This window comes from Homo sapiens, chromosome 18, assembly GCF_000001405.40.
Source record: "Homo sapiens chromosome 18, GRCh38.p14 Primary Assembly".
NCBI classification, from domain to species: Eukaryota; Metazoa; Chordata; class Mammalia; order Primates; family Hominidae; genus Homo; species Homo sapiens.
In genome coordinates this window covers 14186794-14214553 of record NC_000018.10, presented here as the reverse complement: position 1 = coordinate 14214553, position 27760 = coordinate 14186794, and the positions used below count along the sequence as shown (strand labels likewise).

Below are 27760 nucleotides of genomic sequence, written 5' to 3'. Positions count from 1 at the left end.
GAAAAATTCTTGCCTCAATTCCAAGGGTAAAAACAGCTAAGAGTTACTAGAGATAGTAAGAATTACTAGAATAACGAATAGTTACTAGAGATAGTAAGAATATCTTAAGTTTCATAACTGGTTAAAATGTTTTAAAAATTAAATATAAAATTATGACCTATTGGATTCTAAAGGTATAGTCTAAAAGGTCATGTCATTTGGACTACACTTTGTTACTAAAGCAAAAAAAAAAAACCTAATATTAAACAAGAAACTTAAATTTTCATATACCTGTGGTTGCTTCTTTTCACTTCTTTCACGCCTTTGCTGTTCTTCCTCTGAAGCCACTGGTAAGGCTTGTTCTGTTGACAAATTCATTGGTTTAGTTCAAATGAACTAAGAACAGTTAGATAAAGACTATAATCTTTATAAAAATAAATAGAAAATAACATTTCTTTGTATTTTATATTTTGAGGGTTTAAATGAAGCTTAATGTTTACTGAAATATTTACTTCTTTAAGAAATACTTCTAATTATCCAAAACTTCAACAAACCACTTGGGGAGACACTAGATATCACCAGGTTCAGCCATACAAAATCTCAGAGTCACTCACAAATTGTTCCACCCAACATAAATCAACAAAACTGTTGGAAACAAAACAAAATTTTGAAATACAGTCAAAACATACAATGTACATAACAGTATCTTTTTAACAAGACACTAATTGAGTTGGCAGTTACTAATAATTTGCAAAATTATTGTTGTTTATATCTTAATTAGTGTACACCCCATTTTTTACATCGCAAATGTTTTCCCCTGCTATTCTGAAAAATTTATATTCATCTTTTAAGACTCAGAAAGTAGGCTGGACATAATAGCTCACATCTGTAATCCCAGCACTTTGGAAGGCCAAAATGGGAGAATTGCTCGAGGCCAAGAGTGTAAGACCAGCCTGGGAACCATAGATAACCTTGACTCTACAAAAAATTTGGCAGGTATGGTGATATGTGCCTGTAGTCCCAGCTACTCAAGAAGTTTAGGTGAGAAGATCCCTCGAGCCCAGGAGTTTGAGGTTGCAGTGAGTCTCGATCACGCCATTGCACTCCACCCTGGGTGATAGAGTAAGAACTTGTCTCCAACAACAGAAAAAGAAAACAAAGAGGCTCAGAATGCTGTGTGAAGTCTTCCTTGATTCTAGCTATCTTTCTCCACACACACAGGTGTCTGTTTCATTGCGGTCCCTTAGTACTTTGTCAATTTTTCTAGTGTCACTTTACCACCTGAACTGCACATCATGTCTTTACATGTTGATCCCCTTTGCTGTTAGACTGTAGAGGACAATCTTTTGAATCATCTTTGTATAAACAGTCTTAATTTTGCTAAATAATTAGTTATTGAGTTCCTGCTAGGTGTTAGGCACTGGGGTATAAGGAAGGAACATAAAAGCTGTCAGGGATGGCTTTCCTAAAGATCATGCATGAGCTGAGACTTAGAGAGTGAGGTTAGCCAGATTAAGTGAGGCAGAGGGCAGGAAAGGGTGAGCACGTGCCAGGCAGCAACAAGAGAGGGAGAGAAGCCTCCAAGAGAGTACGTGTTTCTCTACAAAAGAGGAATGGTGAGGGGGCAATTACCAGCAGCTGAGTAATTCCAGAGAAAAAGGCAGATGGGGAAAGGGCTACAGATGGAGATTTGGGCAGAAATCAGTTTCCTTTTCTTTTCTTTTTTTGGGACAAGGTCTTACTCTGTCTCCCAGACTGGAGCACAGTGGCATGACCTTGGCTCACTGCAACCCGATCTCCTGGGTTCAAGTAATTCTCCTGCCTCAGCCTCCCGAGTAGCTGAGATTACAGGTGCGTGCCACCACCACCTGCTATTTTTTGTATTTTATTAGAGATGGGGTTTCACCTTGTTGGCCAGGCTGGTCTTGAACTCCCGACCTCAAATGATCCATCTGCCTCAGCCTCACAAAGTGCTGGGATCACAGACATGAGCCACCGTGCCCAACCCAGAAGTCAGTTTCTGAAATCCTTATATAAAGCTTTAAGATGTTTGGACATTAGGTATTCAGGAGTGGTTCATGGATCTATTTACATTAGAGATAATTAACTCTAAATACTGTGAGGAGCATAAAATTCTGAGACATATAAATAAATGAACAAAGATAAAATATGGCAATGTTGCAAAGATGATGCAGGCCTGAGGAGATGTTTTCAGAAATGTTTAGGATACAAGTATCAGTGGCCATTATAAGAATGAATTTTTATTGAATGAATAAATGTATATATCCAGGTCCCTGGAGAAATACACTCTGCTCATTACTTTACAAATTTTATCAAATGAGAAGTAAGATAATATAAATAAACTGTCTCAGTTACTTGTATTTACTTTACACTTTTTCTGTTTCAGTTTTACTGTGCCAAGGAAATGCATTTGGGTTTTGTGGTGGTTGTTGTTGTTGTCATTGTTGTTGTTTTTTGAGATGGAATTTCACTCTTCCTGCCCAGGCTGAAGTACAGTGGTATGATCTCAGCTCACCACAACCTCTGCTTCCCAGGTTCAAGCGATTCTCCTGCCTCAGCCTCCCAAGTAGCTGGAATTACAGGTATTTGCCACCATGAACAGTTAATTTTGTGTTTTTAGTAGAGATGGGTTTTTCCATGTTGGTCAGGCTGGTCTCAAACTCCCAATCTCAGGTTATCCACCCACCTCAGCCTCCCAAAGTGCTGGGATTACAGGCATGAGCCACCGCGCCCAGCCACATATGGGAATTTTGTTTTAAAAGTTATGTTTCCTGGATCTACCAAGCTCATGAGAAAATAGAAGCAAACAAGACATTTGCATAGGTAAGAAACTTTGGATTTCTAGCTTGTCATCACTACTCTAGAAGATTATCATCATGTTTTATAAAACAAAATGCTAATTCTAGACATAAGGGGAAAAAGAAATTAAAACTGTAGGGGTGGGGGAAAAATATTGCATAATTTATTACTGTTGACCTCATCATATCACTGATTAAGGGCACTGCATTTAACTTGTATGTGAAGTAGACCCCATATTAGCTGCAGTTAATCAGTAGACCAGGTGTTCTAGCAGAATTAAATTTGATGCTCCTGTGTTATCTTTAAATGACACAGCTCTTCTGAAAACCCGTACTCACAGTGCATGATTATCCATTAAGACAAGGTGATGGAATGTGTGAATACAGCTGAGGAGACACCACAAGGCAAATGCTCAATGGTTCCCATTAGTATTGGGTAAATCAACACTATAAAACAGAAAGCCATAGGCATTATTTAATATTTGGTTTTGGAAGGTATTTTTAGTGACACTGCATACAGTTGTACTGAATACTTGCAAAATTAGAGATGTAAAAATAAAACAAAGGCACATTGTGTTTGAGTAGGGAATCTGTAGATGTGTAGCTGGTTTTCCCATCCAGTCCCAAAATTCTAAATATAATCATGGTACCCACACTCAAATTTATGTTAAATAACAACCTCAATGAAATTACTCTTTCTCCTCATTCTCTTTGTTATTTATATGTTGCTTTCCTTAAGGGAAGAATACAAATGCCTTGCTAAGAAGCATTCTGTTTGGTGGTAGGCTGCATAAGGGGAGTAAACACAAAGTACATTGGACCACAAAATGACTTTTTAAAAGTCAGAACTATGGTAGCATGAAGCCAACCGAGGTAATCTAGAATAAAATTTTCTATGCTTCTTTCCCTTCTTTGCTCTCTCTCTACTCTAATAACTGCGATTCACGCAGGTAATGAAGAGTATAATTCCCTGATAGAAACACAGCTCCAAAATTAATCCTTTCTTTAACTATGAGGTTCACGTGTCCAAAGTCTGTAGTTGCTGTCTGATTTTTGATCACGGATGGCGATACAGATATTTATCGTCAACTCACAACTTCCCAAATCTTTGAAAAGTCTTACTATTGATGGTTCAACTAGTAGAAACATAATCTAAAATATCTGAAAATAAAGTTTTTATTTATTAGAATGTAAACAGTAATACAAATTGTAATAAGTTGTAAAAGTTCTTTCTTCACTGAAGCAGTACCATGTTGTCCTCTACCTCACAAACACACCAGTCCCTCATGGTCTAACGTATTTTAAAAGTCCTGTAATTGCTATTAACTCAGACAAGTTTACTTAACTTGTTCTAAGCTTCTGTTATTTACTATAATTTACTTTCAATCACTCAACGATCTCTATTATATATGTTGTTTTCCATGAGAAATTTGTTTATTAGTAATTAAGATTCTTCAGGGATAAGAAGATATTTGAATAACTAAGTTTGTGCATAAACACATTAAGGTCAAATACCCATGACATTATTGTGTGTTTCTGTGTACTAGAGACAAAAACTTCAAAAAAAATTTTAATGAATATACATTAAATTAAAAACTGCTTTCATTAAACTGATATAATCTTCCCTCAATGCATGAATACCTTCAGAATTCACATAGACCAAAGAATTGTATAAAATATAATAGCCTTAAAAATCTTATTTGTAGCTGGCACAGTGGCTCCCGCCTGTAATCCCAGCACATTGGCAAGCCGAGGTGGGCAGATCACCTGAGGTCAGGAGTTTGAGAGAAGCCTGGCCAACATGCTGAAACCCCATCTCTACTAAAAATAGAAAAATTAGCAGGGTATGGTAGCATGTGCAGGTAGTATTGGCTACTCAAGGGGCTGAGGCAGGAGAATTGCTTGAACCTGAGAGGCAGAGGTGGTAATGAGCCAAGACTGAGCCACTGCACTCCAGCTTTGGTGACAGAGCAAGACTCTGTCTCAAAAACACAAACAAACAAACAAAAAACATAATCATTCCCATATAAGTCTATGTTCACAAAAGATCTGAAGAGTACACAACACCGTGAGACAGGACAGACATATATTTTAAAAGTTATATTCCTGGTTTCTGTAAAAATAAAACGGTTGAATTTAAGCTTTTAAGATGAGTCAAGGAAAAGAGCAAAAAATGCAAAAGTGAAACTTGAAAGGTCATTTCCCCATCAAGGGCTCATGATCACTGGACATTCACAAACTATATTGTTCAAAACATTAGTTCTGAATTTTGATCCAAGTATCCCTGGAGTTTCAGTTTCATTCAAGGATGTCCAAGAGGTCATCTAAGACAATATCATTTGCTATTTTCAGTTTTCTTTTCTGAGAATAGCACAGCAAACTTCTTCAGAGAAATGAATTGTCCTAACTTCATAGGCTAAAGGCTCACGAGTCATAGTTCTAAGGACATTTATCAAACATGGTTGGTGCATGCTTGTATTCTGAACTTTTCAACTTTAAACTCTCATATAGTAAATATTAATAGATACAAACTGTTTAAAGAAAAGCCCTCTTAATCTGACATTATTTTTATTTTTCTTTCTTTCTTCATTTATCAGCAACAGGAGAGTCTAATGAAATGTGGTAAAGTGGTATAAGGGAATACAATGAAAAGTGTAAAATGAATTAAACCAGAGATAATCATGTCAATGTGGATACATCTGGAAAATATAATACAAAATACACCAAAGAAAGTGGCAGAATAGTATGTAAAGTGTATAACCACTCACATACCATTTTAGGACACAAAAAATTCTGCATATTATTTCTGAGCATCACAATATAGTTAAAGATTTCAAAAGGGCATTGAAATGAAAAACGACCAACTTATGATGTTGGTAGCCACTATGCAATCATGTTTTAAAAACCTTAACACCAAAAAGTCTCAAAATCACCGTTTTAAAAGACTGTGTCTAACAGTTATAAATGAATAATTACTTTCCTCATTTTTAATAGTCAAAGATGCCACAAACACACATACACACACATACACACACCCATACATACACATGCACACACAGTCTTGCTCACTAGAACGTCTGATTGGCTTCAGATCATCAGTGTAGTAACACTAGCAGAAAGCCTCTAAAGTTAAAACAGAAACTGACACGTTAATAAGTAAAGCTTTCCTCTACGTAAAGATCAGAACTCCAACTAGCACATAAATCAATGGAAATATCTTAGAGTCTCAAAATTCAGTGCTTTGAATCCCTGACAAGTATGAAAATTTTATACTGAAAACTTCATGCTCTTCAAAACATTAAAAGAGAAACATCTGAGTTAAAGCTTACATTTTTAAAATCTTTTTTATGCTTCTAAATTTATTTTTATTCAAATATGGATACCAACAATAACATTTATGTCAATGCCTTCCATTCAATTTTGAACAAACAGAATTAGGGGTAAGAATAATGTGAGTACTTCCAATCATTTAATGTACTTATTTCCAGCATTCCATTTGTATTGAATAGGTACCTGCTCTCAATGTCTGTACATTCTTTTTTGTACTGCTCCTTTCACAGCAGGATCTTCCATTTCAGTGCTAGGCTGAATGGGTTTTAAAAGAAAATGATTCATAAATCATATATATTTTATACAATGTGGAGTTAGTGATTCAAAAAATATACATAATTAATTACCTTCAAGGAAGGATGTTTTGCAGGAGGCCCTACAAAGCAAAAGGGATATGTCATCAATTATATGTAAGTATGACAGGGCCAACCAAACATTCATGCAGTGTTACTATCGAGCTGAATTCTCATGCCTGGCTACAAAAATAATTACTTAAGGTTTTGAGGGTTCTTCTTGGCTTCTTCTTTTCATTGCCTAGGACAGCAACATGACAGAAACCTAATGAGGAAAATAGGAATATAGGATTCCTAAAATGCACAGCCTACATTTCAGTAGTGAGATTATGTTTCAAATGCCTATACCTAAAATAGAAAAGCATGGATATCACCGTGAACATGTGGGCTGATGAGAAGAAAAGGGACCACTAAACAGACGAGCAAATCAAACCTGAGGGAATCGATGTCCAAGCTGATGGTGAATGTACAGAGTATTTTAACTCAACACATCAGAGGCATTGCTGCCAGCACAGCACAAACAAATTCCCCTTGTCTTGTCACTTAGGAAATATACAGTTGGGATGACAGTTCAGGTGAATGTGTGATTCACCTCTCATCAAAGAAAGTGTTCTACATTGATCAGCTAGGATACACACTTATGAAATAACAGCTAATCAAACTACTCATTTTTCCCATGATCACATGGGCTACTGCAGCACCAACATTTCTCCTATCCCCTCATTTGGCCTTGAGTTAGAGCTCCTTGATCCACTTGTGTGAGGTGGTCCATAAAACACATCAAATAAACCATGTCGAATAAGCTTCCAATATCAAAATATTTATCAAAAAAGAAAACACTGAATTACCACAGACTTGCTAGACACGAATACACATTTATATTTCAAAATCAGTGCAGTATCTATTGAAAATGAGAATTTTGGTATTCACAGAATGAATTTTATAACACAATTGCTTCTAAAATTAACTAAGTTTGGTATATCATCTTACACTGTAAAGGACTTTTATAAAGCAGCTATCATATCAAAGAACTGGCTATCTCAAAAAAAATTAGCCAAAGCATCTATATGCAACTTAATCACATCTTATTCACTCATGTCAATGAAACTTCTCTCTCTGAGGCCTGACAATTATGAAGTGAAATGAGCTGCTGTGGTTTACCCCAATTCTAGCACTCCCTCCTGCCTCCAGTACTCTCCACAGCAATAACCTCTTTTGTGAGACTGGGCATATGCTGAAGCAACTGGAAGTGAGTTGTCTCAAGTTTACTTGGCTTTAACTCCCAAGACCCCAGCAAATGTCTTTCTTTCTTCCCTCTGTGTCCTTTCACAATCCCTCTTCCTTTGAAAAAGGGATTTTTAGATCTGTCATCCTGATGCTTCCCTTCCTAACTGCTTTTTATGGATACTTGTGACCACTTTTTTCATCTGTATTCAGCAGTAGTATACACCTGTAATCTCTCTTTTTTCATCTCATTTTCCTTCCCCTGTAGCTAGAATGATGCTCAGAAATAAAAGAAAATTAATGCTTTCCCTGGATTCTGTTATTATTCAAATTGCTCTCCAGTGGTTCTTTTTCCAGATTTCTCTAAAGGAAGGCTATTCCCTTGCTATTCAGAGCTGTGTCCAAGGACCAGCAACAACATCACCTGAGTACTCATGAGAAACGCAGACTCCCATACCCGCTAAATCAGAATGTGCAGTTTCTAGAAGCTCCTCAACTAATTCATGACGATCTGAATGCCCTGTTCTACACTTTATGTGATTCCATATTAGTTTACCCTAATTGCCCTTTTTGGCCTAGCCTCAATTTCTTCCCTATTATGTCTCTGAATTTAATACTACATTATAAGCCATAATGTTAATATGGCTTTTAATAACTTTTAATCAGGTAATACCTTCTCTAGTTAATTTCTTTCCATACATCACCCAACACTATTCTTTTCAATTATGTTAATTTAGCCTATATGATAGTATCCTATGAGGTTACAACATTTTCTTTAAAACCAAATTATAGCCATACATGGCTGACCATTTATGGTGATGTTCATCTATGGTAGATAAAACACAGGTCTGTGTGGTAAAATACCTCAATCCTTAATGCCTCCCCAGTAGTGAGGATGACAGCAAGGGTAGGAAAATGTTACTCTAATTCTCTGACACATGTTGGTACTGGAAGCTCACTTTATCTTCCTTCCTATTTCTAACACCCTGTTCTTCCTTTTTCTACAGATCAATTTGACTTTACTACCCTCTATTACATACATCTGCATATGTGTTTTTATTTATTCCATGTACACTCTGCCCTCATCTTTCTTTCTCTTTTATTCATTTCCTCTTCCCTCTCTCCTGACTTGCCTTAGGTCTTAGAGTATCTTAAAATGGAACTCACAACTCAGCTCCTTTAGTGGTACTCCCAATAGAATCAACTGCTGACCCTTGGTTAGAGACACAACTTATCACCATTTCACTTCTCCTTTACTTATTATACAGCTAATAGGACATTTTCTTTAGCTATTAGACTCTATTAGTGCTCATATTTTCAAAGAAACATTCCATCAAATGACTTTTTTTTTTTTTTTGAGACAGAGTCTCACTCTGACACCCAGGCTGGAGTGCAGTGGAGTGATCTCCGTTTACTGCAAGCTCCACCTCCCAGGTTCACACTATCCTCCTGCCTCAGCCTCCCAAGTAGCTGGGACTACAGGGGCCCACCACCATACCTGGCAAATTATTTGTATTTTTAGTAGGGATGGGGTTTCACCATGTTAGCCAGGATTGTCTCGATCTCCTGACCTCATGATCTGCCCACCTCAGCCTCCCAAAGTGCTGGGATTACAGGCGTGAGCCACCGCACCCAGCCTGCAACAAATGACTTTTTAAATAAAATACGGTTCTCACCTTCTCCTTTTCCATTGACTATTCTGTTTCCTTTTCCATGGGAAGGTCCACGTAAAGGCTCTGACACTTTCTCGGGGACACACTGCTAAGGTAATATCAAGAATTAATTTCCATTTTAAAATTATAATGAGTTGCATCAAGACTTTCTTATCAATCTCTTTTTATGAAACTGGGTCTCACTCTGTCAACCCAGGGCTAGAATGCAGGGGCCTGATTATGGCTCACTGTGGTCTCAAACTCCTGACCTCAAGCAATCTTCCCACCTCAACTTCCTGAATAGCTGGAACTACAGGTGCATACCATCATGCCATGCTAATGTTTTTATTGTTATCTTTGTAGAAACAAGGCCTCATTATACTGCCCAGGCTGGTCTCAAACTCCTAGGCTTGAGTAAATCTTCGACTTCTGCCTCCCAAAGTGTTGAGATAAGCAGTGTGCACCACCACACCCAGCCCTAATCAATTTCTTTAAATCAATCTCAATGTTGCCCAGGCATGGTGGCTCACACCTGTAATCTCAGCCCTTTGCAAGGCCAAGGTGGGTGGATTGCTTGAGTTCAGGAGTTTGAGACCTGCCTGGGCAACATAATGAGAACACATCTCTACACAAAAAATACCAAAAGGAGTCAGGCATGATGGTGTGTGCCTGTAGTCCCAGCTGCTTGGGAAGCTGATGTGGGAGGATCATTTGAGCCTGAGAGGTGGAGACTGTAGTGTGCCAAGATCATGCCACTACACTGCAGCCTGGGCAACAGAGCAAGACCCTGACTCCCCAAAAATATCAATTTAAAATGTGAGAATGAAGAGACATACAAACAAAAAAGAAGCCTAATTGGTCAATGAAATATGAGCTTAAGCCAAGAAAGAAAAGAAACAACATGAAGTACAATAAAGTACATGGGGAAATAGATCTATAACAGAGCCTTCTGGTCTTTCATATCCCTGATAATACTAATTAATATTTATGCTACAATTAGTTTTTTGTAAGTACTTCTGTGATAGAGTTTATTACTATAAGACATTCAGTTAACTAAATATGGTCATCTACCACTACCTGAAAGAACATTATTATAACAGAGAGAGAAAACTGGAACTTTCCATCAACGTTCCACCCAGAAAAAGAATTGGTCACCAGAATTCTAAAGAGTAATGTATGGCAGACACATGAAAAAATGCTCATCATCACTTGCCATCAGAGAAATGCAAATCAAAACCACAATGAGATACCATCTCACACGAGTTAGAATGGCGATCATTAAAAAGTCAGGAAACAACAGGTGCTGGAGAGGATGTGGAGAAATAGGAACACTTTTACACTGTTGGTGGGACTGTAAACTAGTTCAACCATTGTGGAAGACAGTGTGGTGATTCCTCAAGGATCTAGAACTAGAAATGCCATTTGACCCAGTCATCCCATTATTGGGTATATACCCAAACGATTATAAATCATGCTGCTATAAAGACACATGCACAAGTATGTTTATTGCAGCACTATTCACAATAGCAAAGACTTGGAACCAACCCAAATGTCCAACAATGACAGACTGGATTAAGAAAATGTGGCACATATACATCGTGGAATACTATGCAGCCATAAAAAAGGATGAGTTCAGTCCTTTGTAGGGACATGGATGAAGCTGGAAACCATCATTCTGAGCAAGGACAGAAAACCAAACACCACATGTTCTCACTCATAGGTGGGAACTGAACAATGAGAACACTTAGACACAGGAAGGGGAACATCACACACAGGGGCCTGTTGTGGGGTGGAGGGAGGGGGAAGGGATAGCATTAGGAGATATGTCTAATGTAAATGATGAGTTAATGGGTGCAGCACACCAACATGGAACATGTATACATATGTAACAAACCTGCACGTTGTGCACATGTACCCGAGAACTTAAAACATAATAATAATAATAATAAAGGGTAATGTATGGCTTGAAAAGGTATATTTAATAGAACCTGAGTTGGGACTAATAAAAAGCTTAAGAAATGTTAATCTAAAATCTCAATGTTAAGATTCCAGTTCAATGATACTAGAAAATATATTGTAACCCTCTTTGCTACTGATGACCTATTTCTAATTTATTTCCTTTTTAATTATGGCACAATTTATCAACATAACACATCAAAACTTATACGCCCTTAAATATTAAAAAATAATACAAATGTAAGCAATATTTTAAATATAATATTTAATTGTTAGATACATTAGGTATATTATATTACTTATAACATTCCATTATATAAAAATTCATTTGTCTATTTATTCAGATTAAACAACTATTAAGGCTGAATGTCTCATGCCTGTAACCCCAGCACTATGAGAGGCTGAGGCGGGCAGAACACTTGAGCCCAACAGTTAAAGACCAGCCTCGGCAACAAGGCAAAACCCTGTCTCTACAAAACTCAGCCGAGCATGGTGACACAGGTCTATGGTGACATACCTCTATTGTTTCAACTACTTGGATGGCTGAAGTGTGAGGATCTCCTGAGCCCAGGAAATGGAGATCGGAGTGAGCCAAGATTTCACCAGTGCCCTCCAGCCTGGGTGACAGAGTGAAACCCCATCACAAAAAACAACAAGTAAAATGCTTTTTACATGGAAGACTGTATTCTAGGTACTCCAGGATACACACAAATATGTTTACTGACCTCCAGTAGCCTGTAGTATGCAGGAGCTTCCAATGATTATTTAAACAACTAAATAGAAAACCTTCTGACATTCAAAATTTCAGAATAGGATATAAGGACTTTGAGTGGTTATTTTATTTTTTAAGATGTAGTCTTGCTCTGTCACCCAGGCTGGAGTGCAATGGTGCGATCTTGGCTCACTGCAACCTCTGCCTCCCAGGTTCAAGCAATTCTCCCACCGTGGCCTCCTGAGCAGCTGGGATTACAGGCATGCACCATCACACCTGGTTAATTTTTGTGCTTTTTTTTTTTTCTTTTTTTTTTTTTTTAGAGACAGGGTTTCATCACGTTGGCCAGGCTGATCTTGAACTCCTGACCTCAGGTGATCTACCCACCTCAGCCTCCAAAAGGGCTGGGATTACAGGTGTGAGCCACCACACCCAGCCAAGTAAATATTTTAAATAAACTACAATGACAAAATTATGATGATAAAGTCTTACCATATTGGTATTAAGAGTCTCTGCTTCTAGAACTGGTTATTTGCAGCAAAATACATGTTATTCAATTAGATGAAGTGTTTTATATGAACTCTTCATGGACAACTCATAAAACACACAAAAATCCCTTTGCAATACAAATTTTGAGAACATAAATTTAAATGTCTATGTTTCCACAATTTATATTTTTAAATCAGATACAGTCTTGTTATGTTGCCCAGGCTGTTCTCAAATTCCTGGGCTCAAGCAATCTTCCTGCATCAAACTCCCAAGTAGCAGGGACTACAGGTGTACACCACCACACTCAGCTATTTTTCTACAATTTTTAATATTATTTTAGTCTCACTACAGAACCAATAATATAAGTAGAGAAACAATCTCTCCTAAAAACTATGTGATACCAAAATAATAAGTTTCCAAGAACAAAAGCTGTATGCTATGTGCTGAACCTTTTTGCAACTAAAAGTTACCAGGAGAATTCCATGATTACTACAAATAATTTGATCCACTGAAGAGTTATACAGGCATAAATATTATGAAAGTCACACTCATATGATTTAAAAGTCAAAGTATTAGTATTTATCCAAATAAAGCTTAATCAAATTTCATATTTCCTCTATTGGAGAAAGCACTTCCTAATGTGATTTTCCTCTCACTACTTATTTTCCAGTTCATTTTTTTCAGCTCCTACCCTGTCACAGTACTTATCAATCTTTGTTAGTTACCAAAGTTAAACAAATTTTTTCAGTCAACTAGCCACATATATGTTTTTCTCTGACCCACTTTCCATTACCACCATAAAACAATGATAGGTAAACCACTGCTAAGTTTGAAAAGTAAGTACTATGCAAAACTACATTCAGAGTGAGAAAATTAATTTTACAAGAGACCACTTTACCTTAGCAGCAACACTCAAGAGTTCGTCATCCAATGCAGACAATGAATCCACACACAGTTCATGGAAAATGCTTGAGAGCAAAAATACACAATGAAAATGAGCAAGTTGATTTCTTTACAATTTTTTAACTGCCAGTTTATATCCAGCTTTCCCCTCAAAAAAGGAAAGAATAATCTGGGGAAAGTTCAGTGATCTATATATTAAATTATGATTCTTGATATAATTAAAATATGTCCTCTGTTCTAAAAATAGATTTTAATTACCAATTTCTGCCTCCACCTGTCTAAATCTATAAAATATTCAATGAAAACTAACCTTCAGCTTCATAACAAATAGTGACAGTCAATATATTGGCAGAGCCTGACAATAATTTGCCCTCACAGATTATCTGTCCTGAAGCTGAACTTAAAACTCAATTAATGGATGACATAAATTTTGTTACCTAAACTGGAAGAAAACTGATGACCTAAAACAAGGTAGAAAGATCCACTGTCTCTTTTCCATGATCTATCTCTGGTTAAAAGACTAATCTGTATCACTTTGAAATGGCAGTCTTGATTCCTCAACATGGAACCCACTTAGGAATGTCCTATTGCTTTCCTTTGCCCTAAATCGGTACAGGAAATCCCATGCAATATTTGAAAGGTATGAAAGCTACATGTACAAAAATCAAATAACAAAGGTGTATGTTCTTATTGAGAATACTTTTCCCAGAAAGATTAAAATATTAATAATTATAAAATCCCATTATTTTCACTCTATAAGTCCTACTTTATTCAGGTCCACATAAACTAGCAAGCCCTTAAAAATTTTCATAGGCACTCAGACACCCAAGGAGAGAGACTGCCAGAAAGACAGAGTCCTGGTAGTTGTACCTCTATTTTCCTAAGTACTATCTAAGTATCTATCTTCCTATGGGCTCCCACTTCCAGATTCCACTTCTGCAGGGCTCCACAGAAGTCTCCAATCTTCAAATCTTCAGCCTATGAAAGCACAGATTCCTGAAAGGATGGCCTCAAATGACCAGGAGTAGGAGCCCTCTATATCCCTGCTCCTGAAAAACAAGCTAACTGGAGTCTCCATCACCTGCACCCAGCATAGACATACTACCAACTACCCAACTGAACTCCATGACTGATTTGCCAGCCAATCATGCCCCTGACCCAGCCTACATGGACATGGGAATGACATCAGTGAATCAGGAACAGAGGCAGAGGTGAAGAGGCCACCTGTCCTGGGCCACACATCTATGTAGTCCAGCAATCTCCAGCCCCTTAGTACTCCAAGGGCTCTAAGCCACCCCTCTGAAAGTCAGGATGGAAGTAGATGACACCACATTTCTATCTGCTGTAGACACTCCTCCCACTGTCTCAAAATGTTTTAGCATCTTTCAGTAAAATTCTTCAGGTTTGTCAGTCCTTGATTTAAAAAAAAAGGAGCAAACTTTTTAGAGCTCCCTTGAACTCTTTATCAAACTTGTCATAAACTCCAATATTTTGATCTCTTATTGAAGAGTCCATACTCCTATCCAATCCAGTGTTGTTTCTCTTCAAACATGGCCTTTCCCTGCTCATTCCATTCTTATCTACTTCCATTGGGTTCACCAGCTAATTCCATTCTCATACTATCCACTGGGTGCACCGGACTCACTCCCATTTGTATTATTAAAGCACATGCAAATAGGATATAAAAAGAAGGAAGAGTACTGGGCCTTAAAATGAGTTCAAATCTCATTTCTGCCCATTCCTATGTCTAAAAAAAAAGCATCCTAATCTCTTTGAGCCTCACATTCTCTATCTAGAGAATCACTTGACCAGAATGTTCAATACAGGTAAAAATACTAGAAAGTATTTTAATTCATTCTAAGATTCCTTAAAATTCTGTAATTCTATGTCCTCTTGATTCTGTCTGTAGGAAAACTGGGAATACATACCCAGCAGAATTTGAAAAAATAATAGAACAAAAGAAACAGCAAGAAAAGCAGAGAAGAAAGTTCTAAAAAATCAAGACAAGATTACAGAAAAGTCATGGAAAAAGAAACAAGACTAAAAAAAGTATTATGGAAGCAGGCAGAAATACTTGCTAAATGGAAAACCAAACTGGGAAGTCAAATAATTTCTCTCTAAGACTTGCCTAAACTTGCTTTTGTAAAACTTACAGCCCTATGGCCAAAGCTAAGTCAGATCTGCCCTAAAGCTTTGATGGTAAAAATAAGATACTGGTTACCACTGAAATTGTCAAATTTATTAGGACAAACTCTTCGACTAACCACATTCTAACAATAACCTTAAATGAGAGTTTAAGGTATTTAAGGTATTTAAACTCTCATTAATTTAGACATTAATTAAATTAAGGAATCTGATTAATCTGATTCAGACCTATACCTTGATCCAAGTGCTGCACGGATGTCTATCAATCTATGCTGAGGAGCAAGAGAAGGGATTTGGAAGCCAGGCAGGCTGACGGTCAAACTGTAGGCCAGCTACTTTGTTAATTATGAGATTATAAGGCAATTAATCAACTGCTCTAATCCATAGTTGTTTATTTAATAAACAGTAGGTTATAGGAACACTGTTGTGATGGTTTTATGAGATGATAAATGCATAGAACATATTAGGATGTCTAGCCCAGAATACAACACTCAACAGATATTAGTTTCTTCCATCTATATTTTCTTAGTTAACATAATTTTTTAAATCTATAAAGTCCTACCTGACTGCAGATTCATCAGAACTTCCAACATCTATTAAAGAAAAAGGTAGAATGCATTTTAAATCAATAATAAATGTACAAAATATTAAAAGCATAAGAATGCACGGTGATGCATGCCTGCAATCCAAACTACTTGGGAGGATGAGGCAGGAGGATCACTTGAGGAATCTAGAAGTTTGAGACCAGCTTGGGAAACATAGTAAGACACTACCTTCATAAAAAAAAATTGTGCACACTTGTGTGTATGTTTTAGATCCTGTTTTTGTTGTTGGTGGTGGTGGTGGTGGTTTTGTTTTGGTTTGTTTTTTAAAAGCATAAGACTGATGCTTTGTTACAAAGAATTCCTTTGGGAGAATGCCTGGGACCTTATTAGAATTAACATTAATTTTACCTATTGGTAGGTAATTAATGCAGTAAGAACTCTTCCCTTTGTATTTATTAGATGCAAAGAAGAATAAATTTATTAAAATTTGGTATCTACAAGTGAACTGCAGTATACAAGTCATCCTAGCCAAACCCTATGAGACTGAGTAAAAATGTTATTGTTAGCAGAACAGGTGTGATGAGTCAACAGTGTCAAAGAGCATGATTTCTGGACCAAAATATGAGGAGCAGTTAGAGGATACAGTAGTACCCCTTATCCACTATATGTGCAGAAAGACATACTTGACATGTTTTTCTCTGCTCTCACGCCACAGCAACAATCATCAACAAAGAAGGCTTCTGTGACCAAATGTGTGGAGAGTTTTTCCCCACCAACAAGCAAGCAATCATTCCTGCTGATGGCACAATTCAATTCTCCCACCCTATCTTCAGATTACATCAGACTTAATTTATAAATTAAACTTTATCATAGATATGTATGTATAGGAAAAAACAGTTTGTGATTCAGTACTATTCGTGGTTTCTTGCATCCACTGGGGGTCTTGGAATGTATCTCCCACAATTAAGGGGGAACTACTGCACTTATTTTGTTATAACACAACACAGCCTCTCTAGCTCTTCAGTTCAAACTGTTCAGTTTAGGATAAAACATCCTATCACCAGAAGCCAGCAAAACATAGGAATCAGACCAGAAACAGGAATCCTTGCAAAAACTTTCCAGCTGCCAGTGGAGAAGAGCTCAAGAGAGATCACTGTGTTACTCTGGCTAACACTCTTCTGGGGAAGGTGCTGGGTGGTTTCCTTAGTTGTAGCTATTTGCTCTGCCCTACATATAACAAGGCCCATGTGCACCTGCCATTTTACCTCCCACAGAAAGAACCACTGGAAAGATCACTCCTTTAAGAGCTTATCCACATTCAGAGATAAGCTGAAGAAACACTGGGGAGGTGTGGCAGGCTGCCGGGCAGTATTATCTCATGTGAAAAATATATAGAAAGAAAACTATCAATGCCCTTTTACTACCAGAATGTTCCAATGCTTGCCATTCTCCCTAGTAGGAGAAAAAAATTCTTTTTCACCTCACATAAAGCAAAACTCCCTTGCCATCCCTCATAACAGAATCTAGTTGTAGGTGAGTCATGTCATCATAATACAGGCTGTTTTCAACCTCATCCTCAAAGGAAAAGGATCAGTGAGGAACATATGTATTTACCTATAGCATTCACTGCCTGGTCTTATTTCCAACCGAAGGTAAGTATGAAAGACTTTGTGATTCCAGTTTTATAAAGTACAACCCCTTGCGCTTGTCCCCTTCCATTGCTAGACACTGTATCTGGACCCACCTCACAGAGCAAGATGCTCCAGTTTGTGCTGTGTGGTACGGCGTGGTGTCCTTTTCCTCAACCCTTTCCATTATGTGCCAAATATCTATACAAATCATGTTTTCTAAGTATGTAAAGCATACCTCATCAGCATATATCATTCTTTACAATGATAAAAAAGCAAAAGAAAGACAAAAGGACAAAGAACATCTTAAATGGCTACCTTCAATTGCCATGGAGCTTTAATTTTTTTAACTATTCAAAAAGATATCCACAGTATTATCCCAACTATATGACTCTTCTGAAAAAAGTAAAACTATGAAGACAGAGTAAAGATCAATGGCTGCCACAAGTGGCTAGGGAGAAAGGGAGAGATGAACAGGCATAGCATAGAGAATTTTTAGGGCAGTGAAACTGTTCTGTCAATAATATAACAGTAATAGATACATGTCATGTCATTATACATTTGTCCAAATTCACAGAATGTACAGCATCAAGAGTGAAGCCTGATGTAAACTATGAACTTTGAGTGATTATAATGTGGCAATGTAAGTTCATCAGTTGTAACAAATGTACCACACTCTGGTGGAAAATACTAATAATGGGGGAGGCTATGCGTGTGTTGGAGGCATGGGATATATGAAATCTCTGTACCTTCCTCTCAATTTTGCTGTGAACCTAAAACTGCTCTAAGAAATAAAGTTATTGATTTAAAAAAGATATTCACAGCTGGGCTCAGTGGCTCATGCCCGTAACCTCAGCACTTTGGGAGGCATAGGCGGGTGGATCACCTGAGGTCGGCAGTTCAAGACCAGCCTGGCCAACTTGGCAAAACCTCACCTCTACTAAATACAAAAATTAGCTGGGCAAGGTGGCAGGCACCTGTAATTTCAGCTACTTGGGAGGCTGAGGCAGGAGAATCACTTGAGCCTAGAAGGCAGAGATTGTGGTTAACCAAAATCGCACCACTGCACTCCAGCCTGGGAGACAGTGAAACTCCATCTCAAAGAAAAAAAAAAAAAGATATTCACTGTTTATGCATCCCAGGATCTCCAGAACAATAATTAAAATAATAATAATAAAAAAATATGGCCGGGTGCAGTGGCTCATGCCTGTAATCCTAGCACTTTGGGAGGCCGAGGTGGGTGGATCACCTGAGGTCAGGAGTTCCAGACCAGCCTGACCAACATGGTGAAATCCCGTCTCTACTAAATACAAAAGATTAGCTGGGCATGGTGGTGCATGCCTGTAGTCCCAGGTACTTGGGAGGCTGAGGCAGGAGAATTGCTTGAACCCGGGAGGGGGAGGTGGCAGTGAGCCGAGATTCTGTCATTGCACTGCAGCCTGGGCAACAGAGCAAAACTCTGTCTCAAAAAATTAATAAATAAATAAAAATAAAGATATTCACTGAACCTGTTATGATGATATATTTAAGCAAGACACAGTGACCCTAAAAATTAGAGATCATTGAAGACCAAAGTAACAGCATGTGGTCATTATAGTTCTCAAATTGAAGTATATGAAATATATAAAATAAATAAATTTAATTGCATGCTTAGGTAAGAAAATATTGATAAAAATGATTGAATATTTTATCTTATTTCATAATTCTAAACAGGGATTTAGCACAATATGAAAACTAGATTATTCATGTAATTAAAATAAAATACAATTTTTATTCTAATTTTAACTCAAATTATTATGCTTATTTAATTTAACAATTTTACTGAAAGCTTAATGAGATAAAAAGGACAGATTATAATTACCTAACATTGCTATGGTAACTTATATACAAATACCTGTTAGTCACCAAAAGTCAAAAAGTAACCAGCATTGCAACTTAAGATGGATCATACAACAGAAATTAGTACCAAGTTACCTTATCTTATAATATTATGTGTTATTAAAATAAAATTTTAAAACAACACTAAAAATTAAATTGGGGCTATAAGCATTGTGCAGAAAAGATTTCATATAGCAGGCAAGAGACTGCCATCCTTAGAAAGGCCTGCATGCAAGGCTGGCCCTTGGCTGGTGTTAAGGAAATTGGAATTGGGAGGGTTTCCACCATTCCCTGAGAAGAGTGGCTCACTGTGTCTAAAGTGTTTATAGAAACAGTGTGGTTACTCTGAACATCTGTTTTCCTTGTAAGAGTCTGGAATTTGGGTACATGTAAGGGAGAATAATTTCCACAGAAAAATTTGGATACTTCATCTCTAATGAGACTCTGGTACTGGTAGACATCACTGCACATATGTTGTCAAAATGTGAGCCTGGGAGAATTAAGCAGATCCCGGGCACTCCACAGGAGAGAACTCCTGGAGGCTTGTGCCTGGTTTCCTCCAGAATTGACCACAAGCACCTTATTCCTCTACTAATTTTGCTTGTCCCCTTTCTTGTTATCAATTAAAGATCTGAGTATGACTATTTGCTGAGTCCTGTGAGTCCTTCTAGTGAACCACCAAACCTGGGGTGGTCTTGGGAAACCTTGACACAAATACATTGTGTAAGATTTGTATTAAGTTGATGTGATATATGTAACTAATCAGATGGCTATTTCACAGAATAATTTTCCCTAAACTGTTTTTCTTTTCTTTTTTTCCCTTGATATTTGACTTGGAGATTCTTGTATTTCTATATCTATCCACATGAATAAAGCCATAAAAGGAATAAATGACACAATAATGTCAGAAAATAATGTGGAATAAGCAGCAATCCTATTTTAACCGAATAAAAAATAGAGAATCTGGGTGATTGACAATATGTTCTACAATATGAATGTTTCTAGAAAAAATAATGAAAAGGTGGTCAATTTTCTGCAACTCAACTGGGCTTAATTCCTTTTTATAATAATTGTGCAGGTCAGGTGCAGTGGCTCACACTTGTAAATCCCAGCATTTTGGGAGGCTGAGGCAGGAGGATCACTTGAGCCCAGAAGTTCCAGACCAGCCTGGGCAATATAGTGAGATCTCATCTATTAAACAAAAGAAAAAACAAAAAAACCTTAAAAAGAAAATTAGCCGAGTGTGGTGGTGCATGCCTGGAGTCCCAGCTACTTGGGAGGCTAAGGCGAAAGGTGAAAGGATCATTTAAGGCCAGGAAGCAGAAGTTGCAGTGAGCCAAGATGGCACCACTGCACTCCAGTGCAGAGCAACAGAGGGAACAGAGGGAAGAGAGGGAAACACTGTATCAAAAATAAATAAATAAACAACTGTGTATCAGGCCAGATATAACCATACAAAACTGTAGTCCCAGCTACTCAGGAAGATGAGGTAGGAGGACTGCTTGAGCCCAGGAGTTCAAGGCTACAGTGAGCTATGTTTGCACCAATGAATAGACACTTTATTCTAGCCTAGGCAACATAGAGAGACCCCATCTCCTATAATAATAATAATTGATTAATTGTGCATCATTCAAGTAAATTGTATAACTGGAGAAAAACATATGACTATTGAATATACTATAATAGTCTACTACTGATCATAGAGTTCCTGTTTACTTGCTTCTAATCTTCTTGTTTCTTATAAAACTAAAAACATGATTCACCCATTAAAGGCAGTTCATTACAGAACAAGTCAAAAAGTCAAAAGAATTGCATCCAAACTGTAGGAAGTGTTATCTGCCACTCCCCACGAACAGTTGGATTTGGTCATTAAGAATCAGCAGGACTTTTAACTTGGTGTCTGTGTGCACATGCGTGCGCACATATGTATGTGTATATGTGCATGTGTGTATGTGTACAAACTATGACAGATAAAACCATTTTGCTTGTGTAAGAATGTGTAATATAACTTGTGCTTCTCATGAAGGAATTGCTTTTCTGTCTTCTGTGCTCAGTAGCTATCCTCAAAAAATAATCTCTTATTTGTATGGGTGCATGCTGGTTCAGTTTTACAGTTCTTATTGCCATTTATTTATGGTACCAGAAAGGAATTGCTGAGTTCCTGGTTCTAAAGATAGTTACTTCCTTAGTGACACAAATCAATATGTAATACAGTTCGCCCTTCAACAGCAAGGGTTTCAACTGCAGCGATTCACTTATATGCTGATGTTTTTCTGCCTCTGCAACCCAGAGACAGCAAGATCCACCTCTCCTCTTCCTCCTCAGGCTAATCAACCTGAAGATCTTGAAGACCTTTGTCAGGATCTACTTATGCTTTATGAAAAGTCAATATATCATTCCTGATGATTTTCTTTCTAACAGCTTCATTTCTCTAGCTTACTTTATTGCAAGAACACAGTATATAATAATGCAGCACAAACAAAATAGGTGTCCATCAACTGTTTATGTTATCAGGAAGGCTCCCAGTCAGTGGTGGGCTATTAGTAGCTAAGGTGAAGAAATCAAAAGTTATACTCAGATTTTCAACTGCACAGGGATCAGAGTCCCTCACCCCCACATTATTCATGGGTCAACTGTAATTATTTGTTTACTAAATATAAACAATTTATTATAAAAATGAAATAGAAGATCCATTTGTATAACAAGTCCAATTTGTTATAATGTGACTATAGAGGAAACATACAACATACTAACTTAAAAATCTTTTTTCTTATTTATGCAAAAATATTATATAGGATTTTAGGGATCATAATTAAATAAAGGAATTTTTTCAGGCAATAATGTTTGAGATTATAAGTTAGCTACAACTACCTTCTTAAATAAATCTGAATTTCAAACTAAAGAAGTTAAATTTTAAAAAATAATTTACAAATGTATATACATATATGCACATTTAATTTACATATATTTTTAAACTGGTCTTTTTTTATTAACACTACCTTAATCTTACATCTTACTTTTTACTTTCTTATCAAGAGTAGGACCACCAAGAGTAATAAGAAATTCACTATCAGAAGTCTTACCTGGTTTGTCATTTTTAAGTATCATCTTTTTATGCTCCAAAATTTGTTGTTGAATTCTATGTATACAAAAGTAATAAATAAAATTGCTATTTTAATACTGAAATAAAAAATATTTACCAAACATATTAAGTTCTAAAACCATTTCAGGCAATATCAGACCTAATATCAGAATTTTAATGTCCCATACACTTCAAATTTTTAAACCTTACAAGCTTATTAAGCTTATAATTAAAGAAGAAAAAAAGTGAAGTACTCATAAATGGAGGAAGCATAGCTCAGTAAATGAACTCTAGTTAGCTGGACATCATGTAACATGTCCTGCACTCAGAATAAGTCCTCACTCTGTAACTAATCGATATTTTGTTTCCAGACAAGTTGCTTCTCTTAGGATCCATGATTTCTTCTAAAAAATAAGGATTTTGCTACCTTACTTCAGTAGGTTGTTAGGAAGATGTAATAAGATTACATGTTTAAATGTTCAGGAAATAGTAAAGCAATGAAATGATTTATTCTTGAACTTTATTGCTTGGTGTGTGTTTTTCTATAAGTTCTAATATTCAATTGTTGCAGTTTGCAGAAAATGTTATTAAGTGCTAATTTTGGTTATTAGTTGTATTCTTTGTGGCTTGTAATTCAGGGCATTTTACCTAATTCATAACTCATCTGATTAAAATAGATTACCTAATTGTCTCCCATCACTGAGCTCATCAATCACACCAAGGGCAGAAAACTAATAGGTGTCAAAACCTGGGCTTGGACAACTACCACTCTTTCTCTACCTCCTCAAACTCTGAGCCAGCAGATCTGTGCTAGGACACTGGATCTCCATGGTCCTCTCCAACTAACATACAAGACAAAACCCTGCTTTTATTGCTTTTCAGTTCCATGAAGGAAATGCAAGTTGACATTTTGTCATTTCCAAGACATGTACCGGCAACAAGTAACATCCCCTTATTACTCAGCTCTGTTCTCATTTCAGAGATCACCTTACATCAGTAGTTTCACAGTTATAATCACAATTTCAATATTGGGTGTCTTCTGTTTTGGTTTCACTCACACTGCTTCCTTGGAGCTACTCGACAAATAGTCAAATGACCTTCCCGGAACTATGCAAAATATGGAATGCTTTCTGAATTTATGTGCCATCCCTAGGCAGCAGCCATGCTTATCTGCTCTGTATTGATCCAATTTTAAAATATGTGCTGCTGAAACAAGTACAAAGCCCTGTTTGATACATGGACACTCCTGAGTCATGGATGAGGCTTAGCTCTGTTAAATCCAACTCACCTACTTTAGATTCAGAGAATTTTATTGAATGGCTTCCTGTGAGGTAGAATTTTAAAATATATTTAAAACTCCAGGAAGAGTTGTGATTAGCCCAGATTTTCATTATCATAGAGACACATTACTTGAGGGGCCAACTGCAAGTTGGTTCCCACTACTCGGTGGAAAGATAACATGGAACCTTCTGCTATCTAACCAAAGCTGCTCCACAGGATGTAAAAAAGCCTCAAGGTACAGATCTGATAGCAAAAGGGAAAGGGAACCCTAATCTTTTCCTGCAACATTATTTGAACATCCCTGACTGTTGAGAGCAATCCCAACTAATGTTGGTTAAAGAACAGACAAACACGGGTCTCAAAGGATAACTTACCATGAATGCCTAGGCTAAGTATAGCTAAGATGTGGGCTCCAAATAAGGTTTTTAGTGTAGGGTGAGGATCAACTTGCTCAATATTTGTGTGGGTAAAGCTAGGAGGCCTAGCTGCCAGATCAGGGTGCTGGCATCAGGGAACAATGACTGAGCATAAGTACATAAATTAATAAACACCATAGCTTTGAACTGTATGTATGAATCACCACAAAAACCGAGGGGTCTGAATGAGTGAAGTCATCCTGGTGGCAAAGGTCAATCATTATCAGATTGCAGGACTAGTTACAATGGCAACAATACAGGAAATGAGTCCATTGAAACAACAGAATGATCAGAATGGCCTTTTTCCCCCTTCTTCTGACTTGTAAAGAAAGATTCCCTTCCTTGGACTTAGGAAACTCCTTAGCTTCTTGGAAAATTCAAAGAAGGAAGACACAGGAGATAGCCCCAGGGGAAAATACAAGATTTTCTGCTAAATTGGACATTTCAAGACCCAATAACTAATTAGAAAAGTCAGGCCAGGCATGGTGGCTAGCACTGTGACAGGCCGAGGCAGGAGGATTACTTGAGCTCAGGAGTTCAAGAGCAGCCAGGGCAACAGAGTGAGACCTTGTTTCAAGAAAAAAAAAAAAAAAGAAAAGAAAAGAAAGGAAAAGAAGTAAAAAATGTGGCTCTTTTTATCCCATGCATGGGGATTATACTTAGGATAAAATGAACAACATTGAGATCCCTAGGGATAAAGGTCTTAAAAATCCTGAAAATATCTTGCACTCTACTTCTAACTAATCTAGATTTCTGCTTGATTTCTGGCTAAAAGGTAGACTAACTCATTGCTATTTCAAACTATCTGAACCAAACTAGGAACTCTCACCTAATGTATAAGATGGAATAGTTGCAATTATTTTAAACTTCAATTCAATATTAACTGGCCTTTTAACATAAACACTTACTTTGTCAAACGGCAAGAAATAGCGTAATCTTCTGCATCTCGTCCACACATGTCTTGAGTAAAGACATTAATACTTTGCTTAAGAAGGATGTTGACAATACCCAGTGAGTCATAGTGCACAGCAAGCATGAGGGCTGTTCTAAAATAACAAAGAAATCACTCCACTCAAGAACTTTAATAGAGACTTTTTTAAACAGCTAGTTTGATACACTTTACCAATTTAATATCCACCTGTCAGTGTAGACATAATAACATTTTGCATGTACTAGCTTGGGTCTATAAGCATCTAGGGTGCTCAAGTGTTCATCTTTGTAAATTATCACCAAGGCTGAAAGAAAAGGACAACAAGGAAGCCTCTTGTCCCACTGGGGTATGACATAATACAAGTTGCTAACTCATAGTCCTTTGATGGCCAAGAAACTGTGCTGAGGTCACTTATCTAAAGTAGGTAAAGATTTAGATGAAGATTTCGCCATTGCTTTCCTAGTCTGATATATAATTCAAATCAGCTAGGGGTCAGATAAGAGCTATCTGCAGGCTGAAAACAACAACAACAACAACAACAATAATAATAATGACAATGCTAGTAGTCATAAACTAAAAGTCCACACTTTAAAAATTAATAAAACTGGCCAGGTGCAGTGGCTCATGCCTGTAATCCCAGCACTTTGAGGAGCCAAGGAGAGCAGATCACGAGGTCAAGAGATCGAGACCATCCTGGCCAACATGGTGAAATCCCATCTCTACTAAAAATACAAAAATTAGCTGGGCATGGCGGCGTGCACCTGTAGCCCCAGCTACTTGGAAGGCTGAGGCAGGAGAATCACTTGAGCCTGAGAGGTGGAGGTTGCAGTGAGCCATCACACCACTGTACTCCAGCCTGGCAACAGAGCCAGATTGCATCTCCAAAAAAACTTAATAAAGCTAATACAAAACCCTTTAGCTAATACAAGATTACAGTACCAAAAACATCCAATTATAAATAACAAACACTCTATATTTAGGAGAAGATGAATCCTACTATATACTGTTCTTTATGTTACTCAGTCCAAATATTTGCTGATCTATCTGATTATTCATGGTGATATTTTTCACTATATGCCAATAATTACGTTAATCTTCTTATTAATATTTCTGACTTCAGTGACTGTTACCACTCTAGAATACACAGTTTTTATTTAAAAAAAAAAAGAACTACTGTACCATCTCAGCCTATCAACGGCATGTGTACTTGCTTTGTTTTTCAATAAAAATTCCACCATTTTCTCTTTCTTGCAAATTATAGCGAATAAAAGTGGGGTATTACTGTCCTATAAAACAGCAGAAAAAATTAGTAATTCAGAAAATTACATATTTCTCAACTGAACTGAAAATCTTCTCTAAGGTGCTTTGAACTTCAACATACAATATAGAAAGGAAGTAAAAGAAAAGCAGTCCCTTCCTTCTCACTCTGTGCTTTCTGATGTGCTGCTCTTTGCCTTGCAAACAATCCTCCTCTGTCTCCCCGGATTAACTGTGGTCATTGCCAAAACTCACTTTAGACATTTACCAGTCCCAAGAATCCTTGCTTTGATCACAGCACTTAGCATGGTACATTGTAATCATTTCACTGTGTCCCACTGAAACCAAGAGCTTCTTGAGGCAAGGTCTGTATCTTTTGTCTCTATACCCCCAAAACCCTAAGACATAGTAGCAAACATTTTAAGTTTTTTACATAAATTAATGATCTAAATTATTCTCACTAAAGCAGTGTTTCTTAAACTATATTCCAAAGAATATTTGCTTTACCAGAAGTATTATACCCCAAGAGAAGGACTCCATGACCATCTGCATTTGAGAAGTATTATAAAACTGTATGTTATGTCCAATAATCAAGAAATCTCTTGAATTGTACCTAATCCCCATTTGACAATACTATTTGTGGCAAACATTAACATTTGAGGAATTAAGAGTTTTAGGGGTACAGTTGCCAGAGCTTCCCAATGCAGGTGGAGGTTTCTTCTGGGTGGCACAAACTTGCTTGATTCACTTCTATCAATGGTGTCAGGATCCCAGATGTCAATGTCAGGCACTCCTGCTCCAAATGGGTCACTATGGAAATGAGCTTTGAATTAAGAGAGATTGGCTTCAAATGCACTTATTTTCCTTATTATTAGATAGTCCATGGGTTTTTTCCCTAATACAAGAGAATAGATTTTTATCTTTACTGTTAGAAAGCTCAGTATGTTCTGTGTAAGAGAAATAGGTTTAAAAAACTTAAGAACAAATATTTAAAAAACCAAAACTCAGTAAGAAATACTATTCTCAATTATAATGGTAATCCCGGGACTCCAGGGCAGCTCTACTTTTTAAATCCATTTTTATTGGCTTCCACTTAAAGGGCTACTTAAAATTATTTTTTATTTTAGACAAAATATAAATCAGAAATAAAAACATAATGGCCTATCAATAAAAGTTCTCATACTGATCCATATGAATTATTTCTGGCATAATAAAAGCCAGTAAGTCACTTGCATTTCTA

The 27760-nt window shown here is 37.1% G+C and overlaps 2 pseudogenes across 1 annotated transcript in view; both read right to left on the bottom strand.

The window, feature by feature from the left end:
- The window catches only part of ANKRD20A5P (ankyrin repeat domain 20 family member A5, pseudogene), a 47954-nt pseudogene that overhangs the window by 12497 nt on the left and 7697 nt on the right, over positions 1-27760 (bottom strand). Inside the window, exons 4-12 of the transcript NR_040113.1 lie at positions 26443-26549; positions 25241-25378; positions 22637-22692; positions 16065-16095; positions 13353-13422; positions 9322-9406; positions 6476-6504; positions 6312-6383; positions 271-341 (exon numbers count right to left, since the gene is read on the bottom strand). The product of NR_040113.1 is annotated as an ankyrin repeat domain 20 family member A5, pseudogene (transcript). The remainder of the gene's footprint in view (positions 1-270; positions 342-6311; positions 6384-6475; positions 6505-9321; positions 9407-13352; positions 13423-16064; positions 16096-22636; positions 22693-25240; positions 25379-26442; positions 26550-27760) is intronic.
- Positions 23748-23854, bottom strand: RNU6-316P (RNA, U6 small nuclear 316, pseudogene; annotated as a pseudogene).